This window comes from Homo sapiens, chromosome 16, assembly GCF_000001405.40.
Source record: "Homo sapiens chromosome 16, GRCh38.p14 Primary Assembly".
In the NCBI taxonomy this organism is placed as follows: domain Eukaryota; kingdom Metazoa; phylum Chordata; class Mammalia; order Primates; family Hominidae; genus Homo; species Homo sapiens.
In genome coordinates, this window is record NC_000016.10 from 82,301,781 (window position 1) to 82,303,237 (window position 1,457).

General features: G+C 49.1%; 2 annotated features.

Moving 5' to 3' along the window:
• Positions 202-703: an enhancer, noted in NCBI's record as "H3K4me1 hESC enhancer chr16:82335587-82336088 (GRCh37/hg19 assembly coordinates)". NCBI's record gives its function as "activates a minimal SCP1, AML or CMV promoter by ChIP-STARR-seq in primed H9 embryonic stem cells {active_cell/tissue: H9 hESC(primed)}" and the evidence as "EXISTENCE:reporter gene assay evidence [ECO:0000049][PMID:30033119]".
• Positions 704-1,203: an enhancer, noted in NCBI's record as "H3K4me1 hESC enhancer chr16:82336089-82336588 (GRCh37/hg19 assembly coordinates)". NCBI's record gives its function as "activates a minimal SCP1, AML or CMV promoter by ChIP-STARR-seq in primed H9 embryonic stem cells {active_cell/tissue: H9 hESC(primed)}" and the evidence as "EXISTENCE:reporter gene assay evidence [ECO:0000049][PMID:30033119]".

Here is a 1,457-nt window from a genome sequence, read left to right on the forward strand (position 1 = left end):
GATCTTGGCTCCATTGGTCCTACAGCTTGTCACTGGAGCCTAGGGGCAGTGTCATGTGTCTGTTCTCTTTGCCTCACACTTGACCCCACACTAGAATTTACAAAGATTAATATCTTTGGGGCCCCTCCTTTACTAAGTCCCTGCCTTGCCTGTTCTGCCTACAATCCAAAGTCACATGAAAACTGGAGCTGGAGAAAAACCTCCTGGCTCCATCAGGCTTTTTGAATGCCTGGCAAATATTGCCTAGACATCTGAAATGATGCGTTCTTTAAAAAAGAATTCCAGGGGTATATTTATTAGCAAGCATGGATTTAGACAGATTTTTCATGTTCCTCTTTCTTGGCAGGGCGTGCAAGGATCTCCTGCCAGTTTCTGACAGCCTCGTCGCTAGGTGTTAAGTGAAAAACATCATCAGCCTGGTCTATTGATAGGTTCAAGTGACAGTGTATGTTGCCAATCTCAGCCAAGAATCACTTCTGACAATTCTCCTCTCCACCACCGTGCTTGGGCGGGAACATCGCTTCTCCCCCTTTCCTTGGGAGTTTAAGACGCTGTAACCATATTAAGGCTGCATATGTCTGTGTGGCTGCAAGCAGTGGGTTTGTGGAGGAATTAAGCAGTGCATATGGCTTCCGGCAGGCTGCCTGTATCACGGCAGCCTCGCCCAGCCCCGTGCCAAGTGAGGCTGTCGAAGCCGCTGTGCCTGGTCCTCCTGAGGAGAGGGGCTTCGGCCAAACTTGTTGATTAGTGCTCGCTGAGGCTGCCAAAATGGTCTGCCTTCTTGGCAAGGCTGGTGCTCTTACAGAGGCCACCTGACTGACAGACCTCACCCTGCCCTCTCCCCCCACCGTGGGAGAGCAGTCACTGCTTGTCCTTCAGTTTGCAGCCTGCAGGTCAAGCAAGTTCCTCCTCCCCTCCCCACTGGCACACACAGGCCAAGTCTAGTCCCTCCTGCTCCCTCCAATCTTTTCTTCATCAGGGAGTCAGAATCTTCTCAGAATGCAAAGCTGATTGTGGCCAAGAAATGGTAATAAAAATAAAAATTAAAAAAAATCTCCACTTGATTCCCATTGATGTTAAAATAAAAAAACAAAATTTTGAGCACAGCCTGTGTGGTATTTCCTGGCCCGCACCCTCCTCCCTGCCTCATCCCTGATCAGGCTTCGTCTCCGTGTTCAAGCCGCACCTGCCTTCTTCAGGCTCCACCAATGGCCATGTCCTTCTCCTTCATGGGACTTTGCACATGCCCTTCCCTATGTCCCCAGTCTCTTCTTCCTAGTTCATTGGCTCCCAACCTTGGCAACACATGATAATCTACTAGAGTGCAGGGGAAGGGATCCTGAAAATATAAAGGCTTGGTCCTACCACAACAGATTTTAATTTATTTGGTCTGCTGAGAGGCCTGGGAATCAGCATTTTAAGAGCTATGCAGGTGATTCCAATTTACCTCCAGAGGT